We start from the raw sequence: 25,402 nt of genomic DNA, 5'->3' as shown, positions 1-25,402 counted from the left end.
TATTTTTACTGTAAGGATGTGGAAGTGAAGAATCCAATGACTTCTAGTACAGTTTGTTGTCATTGTCTTGACTCATGCTAATGTACTAGCAGTTTTACCCATCATTGACTTTTCATCACCTGTTCAATTTTGTAGGACGAGTAAGACAAGTGAGGCAGGTGCCTGATGTACAAAATTTAAGGACACCCTTACTCTCAGGGTCATGCAACTGAGTTCAAGTAAACACATTTAAAAAGGCAAATAATGTCTTAGAATTTATTTTGAAGAATTGTTACTTTGCAGTTCCATGAATCATACTTTGAGAACTGCTGATCTAAACAAAGATTTGATATTTGTTATTTTTCTGCTTATAAACCTTTGATGACCAAGGATAATATCTAAACTCTTTACTGTAGTACATAACGGTCCTTCATCAATTTCTTACAGTCTATTTTCTTTTCTTTTCTTTTTTTTTTTTTTTTTTTTGGATGGAGTTTTGCTCTTGTCGCCCAGGCTGGAATGCAATGGTGCGATCTCCATCCACTGCAACCTCCGCCTCCCAGGTTTAAGCAATTCTTCTGTCTCACTCTCAGCCTCCTGAGTACCTGGGATTACAGGCACGCACCACCATGCCCAGCTAATTTTGTATTTTTAGTAGAGATGGAGTTTTATTATGTTGGCTAGGCTGGTCTTGAACTACTGACCTTAGGTGATCTGCCCACCTTGGCCTCCCAAAGTGCTGGGATTACAGACGTGAGCTACCATGCCCGGCCTCTTCCAGTCTATTTTCTAACCCCATTTACACTTCTCCCTCACACTCCTTACCCTGTACTCTAGCCTAACCATGCTGTATGGTTTTATGACACTTCCTCTGCTGCAGATGTTCGTCATTTTGCAAGCTTACTCTCATTTTTTACAGTGATTCAACATCAGTTCAAATATCACCACCTTTCTAAAGCCTTCCCTGATTTTCCCAGAACAAATTTAATCACTTCTTTTTTTTTCTCTTAGAACAAAACGTGTCTGGCCAGGCGCGGTGGCTCACACCTGTAATCCCAGCATTTTGGGAGGCCAAGGCAGGCGGATCACGAGGTCAGGAGATTGAGACCATCCTGACTAACATGGTGAAACCCTGTCTCTACTAAAAATACAAAAAATTAGCCGGGTGTGGTGGCAGGCGCCTGTCGTCTCAGCTACTCGGGAGGCTGAGGCTGGAGAATGGCGTGAACCCGGGAGATGGAGCTTGCAGTGAGCTGAGATTGCGCCACTGTACTCCAGCCTGGGTGACAGAGCGAGACTCTGTCTCAAAACAAAAAGAACAAAACATGTCTGTTATTACAGAGTTCAGGCCATTTACATGACTACTCTCATACTATATTTAATTCAGTTAAGCAAGTCAGTTCTAGATGCTGTGCTTGGTTCTAGGAATAGAAAAATGAGCGAAGTTTTAAAACTTCATATTTTAAAGGGGAAACAAAACCAAGCAGATAATCACATTGTAATATGGTAAGTGCTATAACTGAATTATGAACCAAATACTATGGAGACAGAAATAAGGAAATGACTAGATTTAATTCTGTTTTTTGAAAGCATGCTTTATTCATCTTTGTACCATCTGTGGCTAGCACTGTGATTAGCCTACAGTGGGTAGACAATAGATATTGGTTAAATGAAGATTTTAAAGTGTCTCTTTTTCCCCCTTTTTCTCCCTTGTTTTTCAGAATGTAAGGTATGGAGAAACCCTCTAAATCTTTTCAGAGGAGCAGAATATAGGAGGTATTACATTTTGCTTTCAGTATAAGTAGGGCATTGGTTTTAGAGTAAAGGTATTTACAAAATCATTTGTCTTTATAAATATATCGCAGCTCTTCTAGTAGAAGATACTGGTCTATGATAAAGTAAAATGATTAGTCCACAGTTTATTTGGCAGCATCTTCACTGTGTTTACTTTTTTTTTTTAATTAAAATTTTTTAGAGATAGAGTCTTGCCCTGTCACTCAGGCTGGAGTGCAGTAGCACGATCATAGCTAGCTGCAGCCTTGAGCTCCTGGGCTCAAGGAATTCTCCTGCCTCAGCCTCCCAAGTAGCTGGGACTATAGGCACATGCCACCACATCCAGCTAATTTTTTTTTTTAAGTGAAAGCCAGTTTATTAAGAAAGGAAAGGAATAAAAGAATCGCTACTCCATAGGCAGAGACCACATCCAGCTAATTTTTTTAAATTTTTGGTAGAGGCCAGGTGCAGTGGCTCATGCCTGTAATCCCAGCACTTTGGGAGGCCAAGGTGGGCGGATCACTTGAAGTCAGGAGTTCAAGACCAGCCTGGCCAACATGGTGAAACCCCGTCTCTACTAAAACAAAAATTAGCTGGACGTGGAGGAAGACACCTGTAATCCCAGCTACTTGGGAGGCTGAGGCAGGAGAATCACTTGAACCCAGGAGGCAACGGTTGCAGTGAGCTGAGATGACGCCATTGCACTCCAGCCCAGGCGACAAGAGCAAAACTCCATCTCAAAAAAAAAAATTTTTGGTAGACAGGGGTCTTGCTATGTTGCCAAGGTTGGTCCCAAACTTCTGGGCCCAAGTAATACTCCTGCCTTGGCCTTCCAAATCACTGGAATTACAAGCATGAGCCACCACACATAGCCTGTGTTTAATTTGATAATCATAAGAAACATTACATCAAACTATATGTTTGTGATACGTATAAGTATATATTAGGCCCCTGGTTTATAATACATATAAGTATTTGTGATACGTATAAGTATACATTGTATACATTTAAGTATGTATTAGGCCCCTGGTTTATAAAAAGCCTTTTTCAAAGAATTTGTGACATTAAGAAAAAATTACCAGTGTCAGCATATTCCTGTGCATGAGTGCTAAATTTCAAAATTTGAGGATGCATTAGAAAATATCACTCTGAATGTAAATTGTGCAACAGTAGAGGGACTATATATTGACTTCATATTGCCGCTTCCTATTTTCACTACTGTGTCCATTTCTCTTCTGGTTTTTAACTCTAAATGAGAAAACATCTTTTGAAACTTATGAGCAAAGATACTTTACTTTTATTTTGAGGAGTGCTGCGTTTTACCCAGAAGTAGAATGGGGCATGTTATTTAACTTATTGAATAAGAAACATTATGTTTGTACCATGTACAGGCACTGTGCAAAATGATGGAGATACAAAAATGACTAAGCAATAACTCCTATGCTTAAAGACATGATAGTGTAAGATAGTGACATTCTGTGAAGTGAAAGCCAGGCTTTTATGAAAGATGCCATTAGCCTGTGTTAAGGGATACCTGTAAGAAACAGGTCCTTGTATCTCTTACTGTGTTTAATCAAAGTTTGAGGCTATTTGTTGTATTATGCAGTATCCATTTCCTGAAGATCTTGAAAAGAAGTGTGTGTGTGTGTGTGTGTGTGTGTGTGTGTGTATACACACACATCCACATATATATATATATATATATATATATATATATATATATTTTTTTTTTTTTTTGAGGCTGAGTCTCTCTCTGTCATCCAGGCTGGAGTGCAGTTGTATGATCTTGGTTCACTGCAATCTCCTCCTCCTGGGTTCAAGTGATTCTTCTGCCTCAGCCTCCCAAGTAGCTGGGATCACAGGCGGCCGCTACCACATGCGGCTAATTTTTGTATTTTTAGGAGAGACAGGGTTTTACTATATTGGCCAGGCTGGTCTCAAACTCCTCAAACCCCAAGTGATCCTCCTGCCTCAGCCTCCCAAAGTGCCAAGGATTAAGGCGTGCGTGAGCCACTGTGCCTGGCCTAGGATAAATTTATTAGTATCAGGAATCCTTATGCTTCTTTTGAATGATTATTTTCTCTTAATGTTAAAGTATAACTTTTGGGTATACATTTCATATGTTAGCTCCATTCCAGGCTTCATTTTGTGTCTCAATTCCCAATCCTTAATTTTCGTTTTACTGAGTCTTTTTTTTTTTTAGTTAAAAAATAGAGATAAGATCTCGCTATATTGCTCAAGCTAGTCTTGAGCTCTTGGGCTCAAGTGATCCTTCAGCTTCAGCCTCCCCAGTAGCTGGGATTACGGGTGCAAGCCACTGCACCTGGCTGAATTTTTTTTTTTTTTTTTCTGGTAAAGACAGGGCTCACTGGCTCACTATGTTGCCCAGGCTGGTCTCAAACTGCAGGTCTCAAGTCATTCACCAGCCTCAGCCTCCCAAAGTGCTGAGATTACAGGCATGAGCCACGGCACCCGGCCCAATTCAATTTTCAGAAGCAGTTGTTTATTGAATATTATTTTTCTATTTGGTCTTTGATGTTTTATTATCATACTTTAAGTAGTTTGTGAGGTTATCTTTTGTTTTACTGATTGTAAGATTTTAAAACATCCAAATGTGTAGCAGTACATTTTTGAATTTAAGTAGTGTCTGTTATAGCAGATAGATGCTCTCTCATGTTCAATTTAAATATTTTGTTGTGTTTTGGTAAAGATACACTTGGGTGACTGGTAAAGAGCCACTTACATACTATGACATGAACCTGTCAGCTCAGGACCATCAGACCTTTTTCACCTGTGACACAGATTTTTTACGTCCTTCAGACACAGGTATGTATCATATCTGTTCATAGTATAAACAGTGATCATGAAGATCATCTTAAAAGTTCTTTAGAGTTATTTATTATAATATACAGAGTTATTTAGTTATTTGGCTTGGAGTTGTTTATATTATTGATAACAAACTCAGATTAAATTATGACTATAAGCTAGGTTGATACACTGCTTTTCCTTATAAAGAATTTAAAATATTTCATATTTCTTTTACTACTTCAAAAACCTTTCAGATCAAATATAGCAACTACTTTTCCAGAAAACAGTGTACCCCATTTCTGTCTGGGAAATGAACACCTGCAATTATACATAAAATAGAAGAACAGGTCAATGTATAAACATTGGAGAATGGCATGTACAGAAAACTGGAGTCTATTTTGTTTTAGTCGTGAGTTAGAGATACATATAAAGTGGTAGAAGATCATAGAAATTTCTGTGTTTAGTTTTCTCTAAGTGCTTATCTATAGAAGAGAGTATTGAGACTCTTAATTTTATGGTTTAAAGACAGGGCTGATTGATTGATTGATTTCACTCTGTTGTCCAGGCTGGAGTGCAGTGGTGCAATCATAGCTCCAAGTAACCTCAAACTCATTACAAAGCATTAGGATTATAGGCATGAGCCACTGTGCCCTGGTCTGGGATCTTTATCACAATTTTTCTTCTACTTTGAATGCACTCACCCTCCTTATCTATCTGATGAGTTACTTTTTATCCTTCATTATCCAAATTGAAAGTCACATTTTCTAGAAAGCCCTCTCTGGGATTCCTTGTCATAGAATTAAACATTTTGTTTTCTGCAGTTCTATACTACTTTGTCTAAACCTCTATGAAGTAACTTTAGTTAATTTATTCAGCCACAAACATTTATTTGTTAATGTTATTATATTGCTTTCATGTTTGTCTTTGCTACTAGGGTATAAACTTTTGGACAGCAGGGACTATATTCTCTTCATCTTTGAATCTCTATTATCCAGCACATTGCCTGGCATAATGTAAATATTAATATTTATTCTTTGAGGAAAGTATGAATGGGCTGGGCGCGGTGGCTCACGCCTGTAATCCCAGCACTTTGGGAGGCCGAGGTGGATGGATCACCAGAGGTCAGGAGTTCGAGACCAGCCTGGTCAACATGGTAAAACCCCGTCTCTACAAAAATATAAAAATTAGCTGGGCATGATGGTGGGTGCCTGTAATCCCAGCTACTCGGGAGGCTGAGGTGGGAGAATCACTTGAATCCCGGAGGTGGAGTTTGCCGTGAGCTGAGATTGGGCCATTGCACTCTAGCCTAGGCGACAGAGTGAGACTGCATCTCAAAAAAAAAAAAGTATGAATGAATGAATGGCCTAGATGTCACAGATGTCTAAGCAATTTCACTAATAATAGCTAATACTTGCCTAGGCTTACTATGTGCCAGGCACTGTTCTGAGCAATTTATAGAAATTTAATCTTCCCAGTCACTTGATGAGATAGGTGGTATTATCAGCCCCATTTTAACAATAAAGAAACCGAAGCAAAGGGGGATCAAGTAATATGCCTTGAGTCACACAGCTAATATTGATAAAACCATGTTTCAAACTCAAGACTGGCTGTTAACCACTACACTATTACTGCTTCTACCCACCACAAAATCACTGAAGGGTCTGAAAAATAGCCAGTTTCCTGCATTAAAATGAGTTCATAGTGATTTATCTTTGCTAGATTAAATAGGTTAAGAGTGGATGATAGGAAACCCATGAATCTTTGGTATGATTACATAAAATGGTTTAATTGCAATAAAGGAGTAAAAAAAATAGATTTATGTTTATATGCTTAATGTTTATATTAATGGCAAAAGGATAGGTGTTGGGGAAATAACAGCAGCACAGTATCAGTACTGTATGTTAACTTTAAGGGTTGAGTGACTCTGGAAGTTAGGTCTCACCACCCTTTCTCTCACAGCCCCTCTCACAGAGTGACACTGAATTGCAAACGTCAGCAGGCTTTTAAAATAGCAATCATGGCTATCTACTGAAGTTGTGGTATTAAAACATTTTTATTTGAATATCTCCCAAAAGAATTTTGAAAAAGAATATGTCCCTTCACACATTTTTAAGTTGACATCATAAGGTTAAATAATCATAGAGAATGTAATTTTTGACATATTGCAAAATACAGACATTTAAAAATAATAGTATACCCTATATTTCAATCTATGTTATGAAATCAAATGATTTAATACCCACTACAATCCATTGAAAAATACATAAATAGGCCAAGGACAGTGGCTTATGCCTGTAATCCCAGCACTTTGAGAGGCCAAGGTAGGAGCATCCCATGAGTCTAGGAGTTTGTCAGCCTGGGCAACACAGTAAGACCCCATCCCTACAAAAAAAGTTTAAAATTCATCAGATGTGGTGGTACATGCCTGTAGTCCCAGCTACTTGAGAGGCTGAGGTGGGTGGATCTCTTGAGCCTAGAAGGTTGGGGCTGCAGTGAGCTATGATGGCACTGCTGCACTGCAGCCTGAGGGACAAAGACCCTATATCTAAAAAAACAACCAAGCAAGCAAAACAATACGTAAACAAATGCTCTTTTTTTTTTTTTTTTTTTTTTTTTTTCTTTTGAGACCAAGTTTTGCTTTTGTTGCCCAGGCTGGAGTGCAATGGTGCAATCTCGGCTCACCACAACCTCCACCTCCTGGGTTCAAGCAATTCTCCTGCCTCAGCCTCCTGAGTAGCTGGGATTACAGGCATGCACCACTATGCCCGGCTAATTTTGTATTTTTAGTAGAGACAGGGTTTCTCCATGTTGGTCAGGATGGTCTCGAACCCCAACCTCAGGTGATCCGCCCCCCCTTGGTCTTCCAAATTGCTAGGATTACAGGCGTGAGCGACCACGCCCAGCTTACCAAATGCCCTTTAACAGTAGTAAATGTTGTCTTTTTTCTTCTTGAACACATATCTGTTTTGCATTCCTATATAATTTTATTATCATTATTTCATGCTGTAGAGTCTGGTATCACACTTCCATCCTTTTCCACAATAAAACATTCTAATGTAATTTTTAAAAATTTAAATTGCATTTGACTGTAAGGTTCTAAGTGTTATGACATGCTTTAATTATATTTCTGTCAAATCCTTAGAGCTACATATTTAGCTCTTTAAACTTTGTGGAAGGTTCTGTATATAATCTAATTGACTGGGTGAGTTCTCATTGTCAGTTCTATCAACGAAATCATATTTACTTTCTGACAGAGCAGTCTGACTTCATTTTTCAATTTAAATAAACATATTAACATGCCTCCCCATGACAACCATCTGTCTTCTGAATTCAGATTCTAAGATAGAAAGATAGCTGTGTCTTGGAACTTTGCCTAGAACTTACCACTTGGCCGAAATTAGGCTTCACTACCTTTATTACTCCTTGCTAATGCCTGCTTTGCCTTGATGTGAGGGGACCTTCCCCTAGGAGCAATCCATTCTTTGATAGTAAGTAGGGAGGGGTGCTAATAGAACTGTTAAAAATTGTTATCATTCCCTTCTTCATTCTGTAATATACTTGAATACACGGCCAGAATACTTTCTTTCCAATGCCAAGCTTCACTGTTTAATAAATAAAAGGCAGCAATACTATTATAGGATGTCTTGATTAAACATGGTTGCCCCCAACCCAAACTTTGAATTGTCCCTTTGGCACCTGGAGATTTTTACACTATAGGGCAGTACATCTTGTAAGATTCAGGATGGGTAAGAAGTAAGCCCTTTTTTTTTTTTTTTTTTTCTGTAAAATAAGAGAAAGGAACATATCTTTGCAGTGAGCAGGTATAGGAATTGTGGTTAGGTAGGATAGGGAAACCAGAGAAACATTCTTTGGTAGATCAGTTATAGGAAAGAGTGATAAAGTTGAAGCTTTAGAAGTTGATTTTCTTAAAACCATGTATTCCATTTTGGTCCTTGCAAAGTTTTATGTACTTCTCTAGAGGTGTGTCTAACCCCAGCTAAAGGTTGAACTCAAGGAGGACAGAGTGTATCTGTGAATGATCTTCAGAAATGGACTGTTGATTCCATATTGATCTTTTCAGACCCTCACATAAAGGTCATGATTTATATCAGTAGTTTTATTTTCAGAAATACAAATGTGTATTTTTGTGATGTGGCAAATTTCTCTTGACTTACTGTCATCAGTAATAACTAAATTAGATTTTGTTCTTATTCTATTAATTTATCTAGGGCAGAGAACAAACTTATCCAGAAGGGCCCACCATTGTTTTTTGGATTTTTTTCTTCAGCATTTAAAAATCAGGAGATTTTACATTAAAATCTGAATTTATGCCTTTTGAAGTTTGAAAAATAGGGCAAAATTGAACTTGAATTTACACTTGACAGTAATAAGATGGAACTGAGTTGTGGCTCTCCCTTTGAGACAGTGAATGTGCTTTCAGTTCACTCATTTATGTTTAATGCCTGGCATTTGTAGGCATTTACATATTTATGACCCCTGACCTTATGATAACTGCTGATCTGTTTTGTGCTTGTTAGCTTATTAGAATGTTATTTAACTTGAAAAATAGATAAATTTGAGTGAATTGCTAATTGCTTGTTTTAATTATATTCAGCATATTAAGAGCCCTTAAAGAGGACAATTGAATACCAAATCAGCATTTTGTTTTAAATTACTCCTAAGCCTTATTTTAGAAAAAAATATATACATTTTTCCCCCATCAACTTTATTTCTCCTTTCTGCTTAGGCTTAGGACTGCTTTGGTTGTGAAGAATACTCTTGAAAGGCTAGGTAGAGCATTTGAAAACAAAAGAATAAGATAAAATATTTAAAGGTGAATTAGATGACCTCACTAGAAATTTAAAAAAACACAAATGAAAATAAGTTTCAGATGTTAAATTAGCAAAGATTGATAATACTGTGTTAAGGTGTTAAATTAGCAAAGACTGATTATACTGTGTTACACTGCCTGAAAAAGTATAAATTAATACAGTCTTATTGTGGAATTTGGGGGGTGTATATCTGGAGTCTTTTTTTTTCTCCTAACTCCCCAAACTTGTTACAGATCCAGAATCTTTTAAAATATACATATTTTAGTCAGCTGTTCTACTTCTAGAAAGGAAATATTTAATTAGATATGAAAACACATACTGAAAGATTGTTATCACAATGTTTTGTATTAGCAAAAAACTTAGTATGACTTAATTGTCCATCAAAAGGGAATTTGTTAGATAAATTAGGGTATGTATTTAATATACTAGAGTACCAAATAACAATTTAAAATGTTAATAAAGATTCAGTGTTAAAATTTGACCTGTAAATATCATATAACTCATAGAAGACAGCCTATCATCAAAAATTACAAGTCTAGTATTATGCATTATTTTAATGTAATATTTAGTGTTGCAGCAGAATGATGTTCTTTACCTGGCCAGTATCAGATGGGTGCTGACTTTCATCAGTTTGTCAAGTTCAGGAAGCGTTAGGTGGCAGCTAGCTGGTGACATGTTTGATATGAGAAATGTATTTTTGTTACACAAGTGGAATATATTGACTCCTTTTCTAAGCTGAGACTAATATTTTGTTTCCAAAGGAAAATTCAAACATTTTTCACATTATTCTTCCTGGACAGTTGCAGGTTTTGTTCCAAAAGCAACACTCATAGGTTCTCTATTTTTCTTATCAAACTTGAAATGGGCCAGTTTGTCTTCTGAGTCTACTTTATTTGTTTATTTAATTAAAGAAAACTTTACTTACTGTGAAGTCTTCATTTTGGTACAGTAAATTGGTAGCAAAATTAATATTCCAAAGAAATCCTAACTCAGGCCTTTGTTGAATCCTGATAGAGGCTGACATTTTCTAGAGGTACTATATTCTAAATTAATTCCTTTTTTTTTTTTGCCCTTTTACACAAAACGCAAGCCCGTACATTCTTCGTAGAGTGAATCATTCATTAGACAAAGACTTTGTTTTTAAGTTTTTGTATATTTTTATTTTTAGCAGTTCCATAAAACCTTTTCAGAATGATAAAAGTAGAACTGTAATATTTCATATTGATTATAATGTGATGTCACTTAAACTCAATGTTAACAAGCATTTAGATATATAAATGTTCATACATAATAATGATATAATTAACTTGTTTAGGTACCCTGTATATTGTTAAAATAAATCAGAGAAAGAATATATTTTTATTTTATGTGAAGCTTACAAATTTAATGTAAATTTCTCATAATAGATAATGTGAACTAATAACCTAGTTTCTTGTTTTGTATGTTTAAGAATATATTATTTAAAGCTTTGCTTACTCCACTACCTTATTCTTCATAATTTTGCAGATTATTTTTTTACCATCTCATCTATTTTATGGAATTTTTTTCTACAGTTATGCAGAAGGCTTGGAGGGAAAGAAATCCTCCAGCTCGAATCAAAGCAGCCTATCAAGCTTTAGAATTAAACAATGAGTAAGTTTGAAATATATGGAAAATAAATTTATTTTGAAGGAAACCAAGGCAAATGATTTTTATGTCTCCTTTGTCTGTTCCTAAGACACTTGGAGTCATTAGTCATTTCCTTTTTGCATGTTATAGATATTTAATAAAATTTTCAGTGTTTGCCAACATCTGTATTTTGCTTCTGAAATTGTAAATCTATATATGCTTTTGAATAGAAATTATGCTAGAAATACTTTTCAAAATGGAGAATGCTCATGGAGAATGGTGATAATACTTTATAGTTAAAAGGGTACTAACATACTAGGCCGGGTGTGGTGGCTCACACCTGTAATCCCAGCACTTTGGGAGGCCGAGGCAGGCGGATCATGAGGTCAGGAGATCGAGACCACCCTGGCTAACACGGTGAAACCCCGTCTCTACTAAACAATACAAAAAATTAGCCGGGCATGGGGGCGAGCGCCTGTAGTCCCAGCTACTCAGGAGGCTGAGGCAGGAGAATGGCATGAACCCGGGAGGTGGAGTTTGTAGTGAGCCAAGATCATGCCACTGCACTCCAGCTTGGGCGACAGAGCAAGACTCTGTCTCAAAAAAAAAAAAAAAAAAAGGGTACTAAAATACAAATGTATTTATGCACCTGTTTTAATTTTTTCGTTTAAAACATTCACTTAAAGCATTCAATCTTGAGTACTTTAGTTGCTAATGGACTTGAAGGCATGAGAAGGGGATTAAAAATAAGTAAAACATAGCTCTGTCAAGTTTATTTTTTTCCATGTTAGCAGCATTTTTTTATAGTTCTTTGTTTGAACTTTATATTTTGAAAAGGCAAAATGTAAAATCACAAGGCAACTTACTATTTACAAGGAACAGATCAATAAATACTAATCTAATGCAGACTAAATAAATACCAAGAGTGAAAATATGGTTCCAGTTGGGGTTTATCAAGGAATGCTTCCTGAATAATGTAAATTTAGAGTTGTTCCCTGAACCTTCTCCCCCAAGTATATACGCTATCCTTATTAAGAAGACCTTCCCACGGTGGAGCAAAAATGGCAGAGTAAAGAATGCCAAAATAATAAACTGGCAGAAACTGGCAGGATCAACTTTATTAAAACTCTGGAAACTAATGAAAAGTTTACAGTAACCTAGTGAATGCTTAATCAAGGGGAAAAACACCTAAATCTCTCTAAGAAAGCTTTGTAGTGCTTTATTTATCCTGGCCCCATCCCTCACTCCCTAGCTCAGTGGCAGTCTTGAAGACAACAGAGTACATTCCAGGTATAGGTTTCTAGTACCAGAGGAAGTGGAATGGACCTTATTTTCAAAGAACTGTGGTCGTTTGTTTTGACCTGTCTGTTGGCTTTCTGAAGGACTAGCTCAAAGGGCTTGCTTTATTTCAGCTTACTGAAAGAAGAGAGTTTTCAATTTCAAAACTCTCCCAGAATTGACATAACTACACTCTGGGTCATTTGTTAAAAACATTTAAAGGCAAATGCATTAGCTGCTGCTGCCTGGGGCAAGGGATAACAGGAAGGACAAACAATAGACAAACCAGAAAGCTTGTGAGCAAAGTCTCGGGAATTAGACACTTTGAGGAATAAAGGCTCTAAAAAGCTCCCACATGTTTCTGGGAATCAAGGCCCCACACACAGCCAGAGCTGGGCATATGCTCAGAAAAGACTTGAGAAAGTCCTAAGCTGTCAAGTCTGCCTAACCTTCATGTTCTGTACAAGTAGGAGGAGAAGGCTAAGGCAGAGTTGTAAACTGTTTGGCTGAATGTTGAAGGTGTGCCCTAGCACCCACACAGAGCCCATCTGCAAATACTTTTGCTTTTTGTGTTTTGTTTGGTTTTGTTCCCAGGTGTTTAAGGAAACCTCTATCAAATCACCAACTGACCACGAGGCTAAAATAGCACACACATCACTGGTCACACATGACAGATAATATAGATTTTATAAAATTGGTTCAGAAAAGTCACTAAACAAACAACTGCAAAAGCAGCAACAACAAATCCTAGGGAGTAGAGAAAATTATGTCTCTAGAGTTGCCAGAATATAATATTTAAAATTTCCAGTTTTCAACAAAAAATTACAAGGCATGCAAAGAAACAAGAAAACATGTCCCATACATAGGAAAGAAAAGAAATCAGGTTGGGTGTGGTAGCTTATACCTGTAGTCCCAGCACTTTGGGAGGCCAAGGCAGAAGGATCACTTGAGCTCAGGAGTTTGAGACCAGCCTAGGTAACATAAAGAGACCCTGTCTCAAAAAATAAATAAAAAGAAAAGAAATTAATAGAAACTGCCCCTGTGAAGCCTAGACTTTGGACTTAATAGACACAAAGTTTAAATCAACTGTTTTAAATATGATGAAGGAAGTAAAGGAACCCATGATAATGATATCTCACCATTACAGAATATCAGTAAAGAGGAAGAAATAATTAAAAGGAACTAAATAGAAATTCCAGAATTGAAAAGCATAACTAAAATGAAAAATTTACCATAGGGGTTCAGCAGCAAGCAGATTTGAGCAGACAGAAGCAAGAACCAGTGAGTTTCATTTAAGTCAATTGAGATTACCCAATTCAAGAAGCAGGAAAAAATTAAGGAGTAAAGAAATATGACCAGAGTCTGAGAGAACTGTAGGATGCTATCACGCATATCAATGTATGCATTATAGGAGTCCCAAAGAAGAGAGAGAAAAGGGCAGAAAGAATACTTGAAGAAATAATAGCTGAAAACAAAAGAGCACTCCAAATACAGCAGCATATTAAAAATGTTATACACCCTGACCAAGTGGCATTTATTCATGGATGCAAGAATGGTTCAACATACGAAAATCAGTCAATGTAGTACACTACATTAATAGAATGAAGAAAGAAACCACATGATTATCTCAACTGATGTAGAAAAAACATTTGACAGAGTTCCCCATCATGATAAATATATGGAAATCAATTAATGTAATACTCCACATTAGTAGACCAAAAGACAAGAACTACATGACCATCTCAGTTGATGAAGAAAAAGATCTGACAAAATCTAACACCATTTTATGATGAAAACATTAAAAAACTAGGAATGGAAGGAAACTTCCTCAAGAACGTCTGAAAAATCTACAGCTAAATACGTACTTACTGATGAAAGATTGAAAGGTTTCCCTCCACCATCAGAAAAAAGGCAGGATGTCTGCACTTGTACTTCTGTGTTACATGGCATACTGGAGGTTCTAGTCAGTGCAGTTTAGTCAAGAAAAATTTTACATGGCATCTAAATTGGAAAGGAAGAAATAAAACTATCTCCATTCACAGATGGCATGATCTTATTTGTAGAAAGTCTTAATCCACAAAGAAACTATTAGAGCTAATGAAAGTTTACAAAATTGTGAGAAACAAAATCAACATATGAAAATCAGTTGTATGTCTATATCCTAGCAATGAACAATCTGAAAAGGAAATTAAGAAAACAATTCCATTTACAAAAGCATCAGAAAGATTTAAATACTTAGGAATAAATTTAATCAAGGAGGTGCAAGACTTGGATGCTGAAAACTATAAAGCATAAGTTAAATAAATAAATCAAAAGACATCCCATGTTCATGGATTGGGAGACATTATTGTTAGAATGTCAGTACTCCCTAAATTGATCTACGGATTCAGTGCAATCCCTATAAAAATTTTAATTATCATTTCTGCAGAAATGGACAAGGCGATCCTATAATTCATACAGAACTGCAAGAGACCCTGAATACCAAAACAATCTTGAAATAGAAGCACAAAATTAGAAGACTCACACTACACAATTTAAAAACTTACCGCAAAGCTACAGTAGTTAAATTACAAGGATAGACACCTAGATCAATGGATTCAAATTGAGATTCCAGAAATAAACCCATATTATCTATGGTCAGTTGATGGTTTTGTTTTGTTTTGTTCTGAGACAGAGTTTCACTCTTTTTGCCCAGGCTGGAGTGCAATGGCACGATCTCGGCTCACTGCAACCTCCACCTCCTGGGTTCAAGTGATTCTTCTGCCTCAGCCTCCCAAGTAGCTGGGAATACAGGCACGTGCCACCATACCCGGCTAATTTTGTATTTTTAGAGTAGAGACAAGGTTTCACCATGTTGGCCAGGCTGGTCTTGAACTCCTGACATCAGGTGATCCACCCACCTCAGCCTCCCAAAGTGCTGAGATTACAGGTGTGAGCCACCACGCCTGGCCATGATTTTTGACAAGGGCGTCAAAACCATTCAGTGGAGGAAAGAATAGTCTTTTCAACAATGATGGTGGAAGAACTGAATAGCCACATACATAAAAGCATAAAGGTGGTCCCTTACCTCATACCATATATCCCAATTAATTTAAAAATCAATCAAGGACCTAAATGGAAGAGTTAAAACTACAGAACTCTTAGAAGAAAGCATAGGGACAAATCATCATCACCTTGAATTTAGCAGTGGTCTCATAAATTATAACACCAAAAGTACAAGCAGCAAAAGAAAAATCAGGTAAATGGACTTTATCAAAGTTAAAATATTTTATGCATCAGAGGACATTGTCAAGAGGCAGAAATAGATTTGGGATTGCCAGGGATTGAGGAGGCAAGGGAGATGGGGAGTGACTACTTAATAGGTATGAAGTTTCTTGTGGGGATGATGAAAATGTCCTGGAATTACATTGTGGCGATGGTTGCACAACTCTGTGAATATATTAAAAATTATTGAATTGTATACTTCAAAATGCTTTAAACTGTGAACCTTGTTATTTGAATTTTACCTCAATGTAAAAAACCAACATTCTTCAAAGTAAGATTAATTAGGTATTCACATAATGAATTTCCTGAATTAGTATCCATATAAAATACTTTTGAACAAATCCAAGAAAACTTTAAGGGGGAAAAAATCTTTTCACCATATATCCATACAGTCATTAAAAGTATATACATTCAAAATATAAGCATATAATTATGTTTATATTTTGATTTATACCCATCTAGGTCTTTTAAAAACTGTTTTTATTATGGTTATTTTAAAATATTTCAGTCGGTTTTTGGAATGGCAGTCAGGAAGCCTAGTGTTTTTGATTTTTGTTTTTGTTTAGAGACAGGGTCTTGCTCTGTTGCCCAGGCTGGAGTGCAGTGGTAGGATGATAGCTTCATTGTAACCTCAAACTCCTGGCCTTAAGCAATCCTCTTGCCTCAGCCTCCAAAGTAACTAGGACTACAGGTGCACACAACCACACCCAGCTAATTTTTAAATCTTTATTATTATTGTTTTATAGAGAGAGGGTCTCGTTGTGTTGCCCAGGCTAGTCTCGAACTACTGGCCTCAAGTGATCCTCCTGCCTTGGCCTCCCAAACTGCTGGGATTATAGCCATGAGCCACTGTGCCTGGGCAGGAAGGCCAGTGTTTAAAGCAGCAGTGTATCTAATGCTTCACAGGGATCTAGTGTAATGTAATGGAGAAATCTTTGTTGATTAGTGAAATTGTTATGTATTATAGGGTCTTCTTATTTGAAGGATGATGAAATGGTATGATTTGCATTTTCTATAACTGAAGAACGTTTTTGTCCCCACTTAACGATAGCTACCTGCCATCACTTTTGTTTAATGCTTGGTCTTGTACGTTTATCAATAATTTCTCTCCTCTTGCTGAGATAAGCACTAATTATTAGAAATATAATGCAAGCCACATATGTAACTTTAAATTTTCTAGTAGCCACATTTAAAAAGTAAAAAGAAATAGGTGAAATTAATCTGAATAATGTTTTATTTAGCTATATTCAAAATATTAATTTTTTTTTTTTTTTGAGACGGAGTCTCACTCTGTCACCCAGGCTGGAGTGCAGTGGTGCAATCTTGGCTCACTGCAAGCTCCGTCTCCCAGGTTCATGCCATTCTCCTGCCTCAGCCTCTCAAGTAGCTAGGACTACAGGCACCCGCCACTGCGCCCAGCTAATTTTTTGTATTTTTTTTAGTAGAGACAGGGTTTCACCGTGGTCTCGATCTCCTGACCTCGTGATCCGCCCGCCTCGGCCTCCCAAAGTGCTGGGATTACAGGCATGAGCCACCGCGCCCGGCCCAAAATATTAAACTATTTTAACATATAGTCAGTACTTTTCTAAAATCTGTTAATGAAGAACTTTACATTCTTCTAAGTCTTCAAAATTCGTTGTGCATTTTTACACTTGCATCACATCTCAATTCAGACGCATCACATTTCAAGTGCTCAATAACCACATGTGGCTAATGCCTAGAATACTGGACAGTGCCGTCTTAGATAATCACAACTAGGATATTGTCTGTAGAAGAGATGGATTTGTTATTTCTGGGAATGGAATAACAACATTTTGTTTCTCTTTGTGGCCCCAAAACAAGCATTAGTTTATTAGCCAGGTGTTGACTTAAAAGATACAAAGAAAAGCCTCTGTGTTTTAGTGGGGTGAAGAAAAGAAAACTTGGCATAAGCATAGTTTTGAGGAATGAGAATAGGAGTGTAGGAGGAAGGACCTGAATTCAGAACAAGGGAAGTTATACTGCATAATATTGTGGATAAGTCCATGTGTGGATGGGACAGCATGCAGAGGGGAGTACTCAGATTTGGGGAAAATGTCTAGTCCTGGACTATGTTTCTGAGTCAGATGTTAAAAGTGCCTAGTTGGCCAAGGGACTATCTTCCCAATCTTCACCCTCCCCATACCTGCCCCATGAAATGGATGTCATAAATTATATAGCGACTAAAAGCAGGTATGATCAACCGGGCATGGTGGCTCACGCCTGTAATCCCAGCACTTTGGAAAGCTGAGGCAGGTGGATCACCTGAGATCAGGAGTTCTAGACCAGCCTAGCCAACATGTTGAAACCCCATCTCTACTAAAAATACAAAAATTAGCCGGGCGTGGTGCTGCATGCCTGTAATCCCAGCTACTCGGGAGGCTGAGGCAGGAGAATTGCTTGAACCCAGGAGGCCCAGGTTTCAGTGAGCCAAGATTGGGCCATTGCACTCCAGCCTGGGTGACAAAAGCAAAATTCCATCTCAAAAAAAAAAGCAGGTATGACCAGTAGAGGGTATACAATTCAGATAATTCTTTATAAATCTTCTTTTCTCCCCCCTTTCACAAAAAGAAAACACAGGACAATGGGTCAGAGAATGAGATAGAAGTTTAAAAATTTTGTTTTTTTTTTTTAAAAAACAAAGAGAAGGGAAAGATAAGAAAGTGGAAGAATTGTGGAATCAGACATAAAGAATATACCAATGTGCCCCTATTAAGGTAAAATATTGAACGAAGGTTTTTTTTTTTCTAAAGATGGAAAAAGTGTAGGTAAGGAAATATGACATAGAGCAAAGGGACATAACCAAGAGAAAACACTTGCTTTACCATTTTATTTAAAATTGCCTTCTTGCTTTCTTCATAGCTGTGCCACTGCATATGTTCTACTGGCTGAGGAAGAAGCAACAACTATTGTAGATGCTGAAAGGTTATTTAAACAGGCACTCAAGGCAGGAGAAACAATTTATAGGCAGTCACAGCAGTGCCAGCACCAAAGTCCTCAGCATGAAGCTCAACTGAGTAAGCAAGTTTGAACTGGTTATTACTGTCTTTTAGCATCTGTAATTTGCTTGTGTCTTAACACAAACAACAATAATAAAAAACTTAATACTTACAGGTTAGTTAATTTTCACTGGAAATAACTAATCTATTCACAATACCTACAAGCCAGCAAGACAGAAATGTGTATTAGCCAGAGAATGCTTGTGGAAGGGAATAGATCTGCTCAGGTTATTGAGAGAAGATGTGCTGCTCTGAGACTTAACAGTAATTTATTTCATGTGAGAATTGGGCTGGTCATTGTAAAAACATAACTCAAAAACTTTCAGCATTCAGGAGAGCCTTCTAGTGATGATAAGCAGCTGTTATCTTTATCCTCACCCTTACTCTAAGCAACAGTAGAGGTACATTATTTGGTTGGTTCTTCAGACTGTGTATCTGCATATAGTGCTAGGGAGTGGCCCCTTTCACACCATCTGATTCTTAGCCCAAAATCCAACCTCATACTTGGCATTGATTCTTTCTTTGGTTGATTTTTCTCCATGATGTGCTTGAGATCAGATGAGCCATAGCAACAGAAGTCCTTTCTGTTCTTAGATATGCTCTACCAGTTATGATTGAGATTTTTTTTTACCAAAGATGTTAGAATCAGCAATGATGCTGCTTCCTGCTATTTTTATGGCCAGAGGGTTTTAGTTTCATGATTTTGGCAAATAGTGGGTAATAAATTGAAATATGTTTATATAATGCATTATCTACTGGCAGCTAAGTTCTAAATCTTTTTTTATGTGTAAATTAAAATTTGGATAATGTTTTTCTCCCTAAGCTAAATACAGATATATATGGTATGTTTCATTAATGCACAGTTTTTATAACACAAATCTGTGGGAATATATAATTTTGTAGCCTGGAACTAATGAAACTACATCTTTAAAAATGTCATGCCATTTGTCTTTGAATAATCTCAAATACGGTTATGAGCTAGTTACAGAAATATTTGTTAGCTCTTTCTAGAAGTAGTTTTATAGTTTGTCAACTACTCACTGTTAAGAAAAGTTTACATTAGCCATGGAAATTTTGTTTTGGACATTTTTTGTTTTTCATTTAAAACAATAGAGAGTATCAGAATAGTAGATCATTTATGCACAAACTTAAATACTAGGTTAATGTTATATCTTACTATAATGTATGTATTTCTTTTTTGCTAATGGTAAAATAAACTTGTCAATCATACACGAATTATATATACTGTACTTAAGTTACTATTAGAGGCAAAAATAATTAAATGTGTATTTTAAGTTTTAATACAGAAAACTTGAAACATGCGCAAAAATAGAGAACACTCCTGTTCAATATTTATCATCCAAATGTAGACATCATTAATATTCTTCCATTCTGACACAATTTAATTTTAATTGACTCTTCCAAGGGAAGCAAATAAAATTAATGGATATGTTAATGAAATAGCAGCCCACAATACAAAAGTGATAGTTGTATCATTTTTTTGTTTTTCTAAATAGGGAGAGATACCAATGTACTGGTATATATTAAAAGAAGATTGGCAATGTGTGCAAGAAAATTAGGAAGAATAAGAGAAGCAGTAAAAATAATGAGAGATGTAAGTAAATTGATGATGGGACTATTACATTTATTCCTCCAGAAACTAAAAATTTAGTTAAGTTGCCAGTTATTTTAATGCAGAATCATTGTATTTTAATTGGTAGTTTTTAGAACAAGGTATTTATTTAATATACGTACCTTTCTTAAGGGTTAGGTCTTCTTCACAGCTATGGTAAGAAACAAGAATTTCTACTTAATGAATCTGGCTCAGCTCTATTGAGTTCCTTTGTTATGATTTTAATCTTTCTTTTCCTTTTAATATACAGTTGATGAAAGAATTTCCTCCTCTTACCATGTTGAACATCCATGAAAATCTCTTAGAATCACTTTTAGAATTACAGGCCTATCCAGATGTTCAGGCAGTCCTAGCAAAATATGATGGTGAGTCATATTCCCTTAGTTGATAGCATGGTTATTCTTTTCCAATTATGTAATTATAAATGTGGTTATATTCTAGTATTTAATTTTCTCTTTCTGTTCTTACCAGTCAGTATTTAGCACTCAGAGGTTGCTATTTAGTATCTTCTTTATCAGGACTTTCATTAGCAAAAGTCTGCAAGGAAGAACTTTTCTTCTGTCAAGATTTACTTGTTTGTTTATTGAGTGCTTGTTTCTAATATGAGTGAGTCATTCAGAATATGACAGTGAACAAGACAACATGGGAGGCTGGGCATGGTGGCTCACACCTGTAATCCCAGCATTTTGTTTTGGAGACTGAGGTGGGAGGATCACTTGAGCCCAGGAGTTGGAGACCAGCATGGGCAACATGGCAAGACCCTGTCTCTACAAAAAAATTTTTTAAAAAAATTAGCTGGGTTTGGTGGTGTGTACCTGTAGTCCCAGCTACTTGGGAGGCTAAGGTGGGAGGATCACTTGAACCTGGGAGGTTCAGGCTGTAGTGAGCTGTGACTGCACCACTGTAGTCCAGCCTAGGCGACAGAGGGAGACCCTGTCTCAAAAAAAAAAAAAAAAAAGACGGGGAGCCCTCATAGGATTTACAGTTTATTTACAGTTTAGTGGAGCATACAGACAAATGAGCAGCAGTTACATTGAAGACAGCATGTTTGGGAGATAATTGGAGAAGTATGGGTGCTGTGCACATAGTAGGGGTACCTTATTTGTTTTGGAGTGTCAAGCAAGCCTAACAGAGAAGTTGCTTAGCAGTATATACTATAAGAGCAATTCAGAATAACATTTTTACAATGCTTTTTAGTTACAAAGTTCAATGATAATATGATCGTTATAATAGTCTTATGATGTTGTGGGACAAGTATTTTTACTGTCTCCAATTAACTGAATAAGGGAACTGGAATTTAAGAAGGTTAAAGTATTGGAGTAAGGTCTCCCAGCCAGTAAAAGGCAAATCCAGGTGTTTGATTTCTTAGTTCATTAGTCTTTCCATGGTAACAATTCAATATATATTGGTTATTTTTATTTTTTTATTGGAGACAGAGTCTCACTCTGTCGCCTGGGCGGGAGTGCAGTGGTGCAATCTCGGCTCACTGCAAGCTCCGCTTCCCAGGTTCACGCCATTCTCCTGCCTCAGCCTCCCGAGTAGCTGGGTCTACAGGTGCCTGCCACCATGTCTGGCTAATTTTTTTGTATTTTTTTTAGTAGAGATGAGGTTTCACCATGTTGGCCAGGATGGTCTCGATCTCCTGACCTCATGATCTGCCTGGCTCGGCCTCCCAAAGTGCTGGGATTACAGGCGTGAGCCACCGCACCTGGCAGTTATTTTTATTATTATGTTATAACAATACCAGTTTACCACACATGAAGTTTGGAGAATTTTAAAGACATAAAGCCTCCCTTCTTATCCTGAGAGAGGCATCAGCTTTTAACCTCAAGCTGAAAATTTGGGGTTACTATGCTTCTGGTGGTATCTTTCACTATACGAGAACACATGTAAGTCACATTGAAGGCTGGACACAGTGGCTCATGCCTGTAATTCCAACCCTTTGGGAAGCTGAAGCGGGTGGATTGCTTGAGCTCAGAAGTTGAAGACCAGCTTGAGCAACATGGTGAAAACCCATTTCTAAAAAAAATATTTTAAAAATTTAGCTGGGTGTGGTGGCATGCGCCTGTAGTCCCAGCTGCTCGGGAAGCTGAGGTGTGAGGATCTCTTGAGCCTGGGAGGTAGAGGTTGCAGTGAACCAAGATTGCACCACTGTATTCCAGCCTGGGTGACAGAGTGAGACCCTATCTCACAAAAAAAACAAAGAAAAAGGTCGTTTATTCACATTTGTCCTGTTATAGGTTCCTACCCATTTGCTTGGGAATCCCCATGACTTGGGAAGTTTGAAATGTGTTATACTTGGAAAGAGAAGTTTACTTCTTTTAAACATCTGGAATTCTTAAGCAATGCTTCAGAATAGTGTAGGCTCATGGAGAAATTTGTGAGAAATTCTTTCCATATGTAACTTACTGGATACATGGCCTGCTTATAATACTTATGATGAGCAAGCTTAGGGACTGAATGTAACAAACTGGAATAGGACCTGATTCATTAAAAATAAAATAAAACTAAAACTAATAAAGCATATCTAAGTTGATATGCTTCTGTATTTTCAGTTATTTTCATGAGTCCCAGTTTTTACCATTCCAGAATCTGGAGGAAGTTGAAAGCAAATTTACTTCCTTAGTTCTCCATTTGCTAGTATGATTCTGGGATCAGAAACATCTTCTGATAGCATTATTTTGGATATTCTTTTGAGAATGATTGATATAATTAATTTACCTACAGTTCCAGATGAAATTTTTATTTTCTAAAAAATAATAATTTAAGAAAAATAAATCTAGGAAGAAGAAAAATATCACCCTCGGTTGAATCAACCTGGATTTAACTACTGTTAAATATTTTAATTTTTTTCTAATATTAGTTTTTCTCTATGAATAGGTGAAGGTTTTACATAGTTCTAATTATACCATGCCTTTTCCCCTGAACTTACTATAAGCAGGTTTTTTTTTTATTGTTTTTTTTTTTTTTTTTTTTACAGAGTCTCGTACTGTCACCCAGGTTGGAGTGCACTGGCACAATCTCGGCTCACTGCAACCTCGGCCTTCCAGGTTCAAGTGATTCTCCTGCCTCAGCCTCCTGAGTAGCTGGGATTACAGGCACCTGCCATCACACCCGGCTAATTTTTTGTATTTTTAGTAGAGACAGGGTTTCACTATGTTGGCCAGGTTGGTCTCGAACTCCTGACCTCGTGATCCACCCACCTCAGCCTCCCAAAGTGCTGGGATTACAGGCATGAGCCACCACGCCCGTCCATAAGCAGGTTATTGTAGACATTGGTTGAACGCATTTCACCGTTGTGCAGACGGCTTTCATAGACATAATTTCATCTCGGTCAGAAAATATCATTATTTTGAGAGGTGAAAACTGAGGTCAAACAAGTTGCTACTAGCTCAAAGATGCTTAGCTGGTAAATAGTAAGATAAAGATTCAGATTCAGCTTTTTCAACTTCATATACGGGTTTTTCCTACTATATTATAGATTTTTCAACATCACGTCCAGGTTTTTCCTATATAACTATTGAATTTGCATTGCATTGTGAATTATTCTTTTTTTTGTTTTGTTTTGTTTTGTTTTTTTTGGAGACGGAGTTTCACTCTTGTTGCCCAGGCTGGAGCGCAATGGCGCAATCTTGGCTCACTGCAACCTCCGCCTCCTAGGTTCAAGCGATTCTCCTGCCTCAGCCTCCTGAGTAGCTGGGATTACAGGCATGCGCCACCATGCCTGGCAAATTTTTGTATTTTTAATAGAGACGGGGTTTCTCCATTTTGGTCAGGCCGGTCTTGAACTCCTGACCTCATGATCCACCCGCCTCAGCCTCCCTAAGTGCTGGGATTATAGGCATGAGCCACCATGCCTGGCCGTGAATTATTCTTATTAAAAAATTGTCTCAATACCTTTTTTGTAATTCCTACCTAAATTGAAAATTATCGTTACAGATATAAGCCTTCCAAAGTCAGCAGCAATCTGTTACACAGCAGCACTGTTGAAGACAAGGACTGTTTCAGAAAAGTACGTGTTATAAAAACTACAATGATTTGGAAAGACTGCTAAACTCAGTATTATGCTTGTCCTCTACTGACTTTAAACAATGCTGTTTTCCACTCTACTTCCTTCTGAATAGCCCTGGATCTTCTTGGGCTTTTAGGCTTCTTGCTGTGTGTAGTGGAAAGAGCAAAGTTTTTAGAGCTAACCTGAGCTCAAATTCAAACTCTACCACATTTTAGCTATAGGACTGTAGGCAAGTTAATCATTTTGAGTCTCTCCTTCATCTGTAAAATGAGACTAATATTGCAGGAGGGTTGTAGGAGGATTATGTGTGGTAAGTGCCTAAAGCAATATCTAGAAAGAAAGTACACACACCAAATAGTAACTATGATGATGATGATAAAGTGTGTAGTAGGGAAATAGGCTTATGTTATCTCTTCTTAGAGTATAATTCTGAGTTCTTCTGCTTTTCTTGTATTTTTGGCTACTCTTAGTGAATTCTCTTTATTGTGCAGGTAAGATACTCAGAAACCAACCAAATAGTGGCCATTTTCTTTCACCTTAGATTTTTATGCTTTGATATGAATTAGAATGGAATTTTCCATTTGTGTCCTCTCAAATAAGAATTTGATAAGAATGTACTGCTATTTCATGAGATTCTCTGGATATCACTGTGTTGCATTTATTACTTTATTACCTTTCCTAAAGTGTACCTTCAGTGGACTTCTCCTGAAGGCCTTCTTTACCTAAGTTTGAAGACTTTCATTCCTTATGCTGCTTTGTTTTTTCTATGTTGAACCCACAAGACTATACTTTTTTTTTTTTTTTTTTTTTTTTTGAGACAGAGTTTCACTCTTGTTGCCCAGGCTGGAGTGCAATGGCACAATCTTGGCTCACTGCAACCTCTGCCTCCCGGGTACAAGTGATTCTCCTGCCTCAGCCTCCCATGTGTGCCTGGGACTACAGGCACACACCACCACACCCAGCTAATTTTGTATTTGTAGTAGAGACGGGGTTTCTCCATGTTGGTCAGGCTGGTCTCTAACTCCTGAGCTCAGGTGATCCACCTATCTCAGCCTCCCAAAGTGCTGGGATTACAAGCATGAGCCACTGCGCCCGGCCAGCTTTAATTTTTTTTTTTTTTTTGTTAGTCCTCTGGCTTTGTTTTTGGCCATCTCCAGAAACTTCTTTTGATTCAAGGGGCTGTATTATTATCTAAATT

General features: G+C 37.2%; 1 protein-coding gene across 29 annotated transcripts in view; it reads left to right on the top strand.

The window, feature by feature from the left end:
- ST7L (suppression of tumorigenicity 7 like) overlaps positions 1–25,402 on the top strand; it is a 101,882-nt gene that overhangs the window by 17,136 nt on the left and 59,344 nt on the right. For 20 of the 29 annotated variants that reach the window (XR_007061293.1, XR_007061292.1, XR_007061291.1 and 17 more), the window contains 7 exons: positions 1,701–1,755; positions 4,463–4,578; positions 10,946–11,024; positions 18,423–18,577; positions 20,077–20,174; positions 20,443–20,557; positions 24,132–24,204. Coding sequence is in view for 20 of the 29 variants with exons in the window: in XM_011541628.3 (XP_011539930.1) it covers positions 1,701–1,755; positions 4,463–4,578; positions 10,946–11,024; positions 18,423–18,577; positions 20,077–20,174; positions 20,443–20,557; positions 24,132–24,204 (691 nt within the window). In the remaining 9 variants the exon portion in view is untranslated. Of the gene's footprint in view, positions 1–1,700; positions 1,756–4,462; positions 4,579–10,941; positions 11,025–18,422; positions 18,578–20,076; positions 20,175–20,442; positions 20,558–23,172; positions 23,243–24,131; positions 24,205–25,402 lie in introns of those variants that run through there. The other 9 variants (XR_007061297.1, XR_007061295.1, XR_007061296.1 and 6 more) reach the window with 5 other exon arrangements.

Source organism: Homo sapiens, chromosome 1 (genome assembly GCF_000001405.40).
Source record: "Homo sapiens chromosome 1, GRCh38.p14 Primary Assembly".
Lineage (NCBI taxonomy): Eukaryota > Metazoa > Chordata > Mammalia > Primates > Hominidae > Homo > Homo sapiens.
Note: the sequence above shows the minus strand (reverse complement) of the source record. Positions and strands in the feature narration are given on the sequence as shown.